The sequence below is a fragment of the Homo sapiens genome, chromosome 11, assembly GCF_000001405.40.
Source record: "Homo sapiens chromosome 11, GRCh38.p14 Primary Assembly".
Lineage (NCBI taxonomy): Eukaryota > Metazoa > Chordata > Mammalia > Primates > Hominidae > Homo > Homo sapiens.
Window position 1 is genome coordinate 37,914,729 of NC_000011.10, and position 2,675 is coordinate 37,917,403.

Here is a 2,675-nt window from a genome sequence, read left to right on the forward strand (position 1 = left end):
TTAAATATAAAATTAGAGGAAAGCTTCCTGAAACTGAAACCCTGCCCTCATGATAATGGTGTCATAGCAGAGGTAAATGTAGTATAATGGGATATAAATTTAAGGGTGAAAAGACAGCAGGAGGAGATTGTATTACAATAATGAGGTGAAAGGACAGTGATGCCCCATGAATAGTGGCTCTCATAAGGGTCAGAACATAGAAAATGTGTGTGTTAATGTCAGATCTATAATCTCCAGTTCTTACTCTTCATGAATATACTGGTTCTCATTTCCTATGTTTACTCTGGTGATACTCATGTGAACAACCTTGAATTCAGGATGATAGTTATCTTGACTTAAGCACAGGGCTACAAAAAAGGCTAATTGGATTCTGCGTATTTCCTGGCTTCCTGGTTGGGGAAAGCTGCAGGGTCTCATTGCTTAATTAGTGTTGACATAAAGTAAAATCAGAGACAGTAAAATGGTAGGACTTAGCAGCAAAATACCAAAAAGAGCAGATATTCAATTTCCATTCATCTCTAAATGTCTATAATCTTAGGGAATCTGAAATCTTGTCATATTCTCTATTGTTTTATTTAGGAACTCAGCTTTAATGGCAATAATAATATCTATCTGTTTAGTGAAAAATTAACTTTACCTGGGTCTGGCCTTTGTTCTGGTTCTGGGGCTAAGCTCTAACTGCTTGGAATTTCCTGAGTAATAGAAATATCTTTGTTATTTATGGTGGGTACCTTGAACCATAATCAATTGTTTATGCTAACAGAGATGACCCAAGGTGTGGACTTGTCATGACAGAAAGACCAAACATATGATTAGAGGGTTGGGGTTTGTGACCATGTGAATTCAGTCTGATCTTCAGGGACGGGTGTGGGACCTAGGGATTAAGTTCTACTCTGTGGACAGGAACCAAGTCAATCATGCCTACATAATGAAATATCAGTAAAGAGTCTGAACACCGAAGCATGGGCATGCTTCTAGGCTTACAGTACTCTGTATTGCCAAATGTTGATGCCAGAAGAGTAATGCATCCCGGAGGACACAGAAACTTTAGATTTGAAGCCCTTCTAGTCCCGTCTTCTTTCTTATGCATCTCTTCCTTTGACTAGTTCTGATTTGTATCCATTTGCTGTAATAAAACTTTAATAAAAAGTATAGTGCTTTCCTGAGTTCTGCAGGTCATTCTAAGCTTGTAATCAAACCATGGGAACCCCAGATTTATAGCCAGTTGGTTAGAAGTGAGTGTGGCCTTGGGGACTCTGCAAATTGTGATGTGTATAATATTTGAAGTATTGGGCAGTTTCTGGCAGTCTGGAAAATTGTGTCCTTAAATTGGGTTTGGTTAAATCCCATTACTACCATTTACTGAAGGTCCACTATATCCTCCAGTCAATATACTTAATAATTTAAAAGTATATGTTACTGTGGTTGTCAGCCTTCAAGATGGTTCCCAATAATCCTTACCCCCTGATATTTGCTCATTTCTACGAGTAAATTGGGGCTGATCTATTATTCATTAAGAATGACCTTCATAATCAGTAGATAATGGCAGAAGTAACGATGTGTGACTTCTGAGGTTTCTGCTTTCTCTTTGATATCTTGACGTACTTGTTCAGGGAGAGCCAGCTATCATGGTGTGGGGACACTTATATAGCTCTATGGAGAGGCTCAAGGGCTCACATGGAAAAGAGCTATAGCTGTTGGAGAATAGTCAACACACACTTGCCATCATTGTGATTGAATCACTTTGGAAGTGATTCTCCCAGCCTTATCAGGGTTTTAGATGACTCCAAGCTGAGAGAATTCTTCCAAGCTGAGAGAATTCTTCCAAGCTGAGAGAATTCTGATTGCAACCACATGAGACCCCAAGCAAGAATTGCCCAGCTGAGTCTTTCCTGAATTTCTGACCCACAGACTCCATGAGCATAATATTTGATTGTTTTATACCAGTAATTTCAGGGGTAATTTTTTGCACAGCCTTAGTTAAACAAAGTAATCATTTTCTATATTTCAGTTTATTTAACCTTAACTTGAGTATCTCAGATAGTTATTACCCACAATTTATTGATATCACAGAAATCTCTCTTGTATAGAGTCAGTTTTCTGCCTTCATTTTATTTAAGTTCTCAGTAGCATTTGCAACAGATGAACATTCATTCTCTACAGTCTTCAGCTGACAGTACATTCCTTATAGTCTTTTCAACACTTTCTGGTTATTTTCTTGTGCTTTCCTTTGAGTGTTTCTCCTTCCTGTCTGCACTTTAAATTTTTAGATGCCTTCTTTTTTCTATCTTTATTCTTTTCCTAGTTAAAGTCATCTTTTGGTATCCAAAGGGAATTAATTCCAGGAAGAACCCCCAACCCTTGCAGATACCAAAATCCAGGGATGTTTAAATTCCTGATAGAAAATGGTGTCATATTTGCATATAACCTACACACATCCTCTTGTTTACTTTAAATCTTCTCTATATAACTTACATACTTAACATAATGTAAATGCTATGTAAATGATGGTTATACTGCATTTTTTATTTGTATTATTTTTATTGTTATTATTATTTATTTATTTATTTATTTATTTTTGCTGAATCTTTATGATTCATTGTTGGTTGAATCTGCTGATATGGCACCTTTGGATATGGAGGGCTCACTGCATGTTATCCAGTTCCATGACTTTA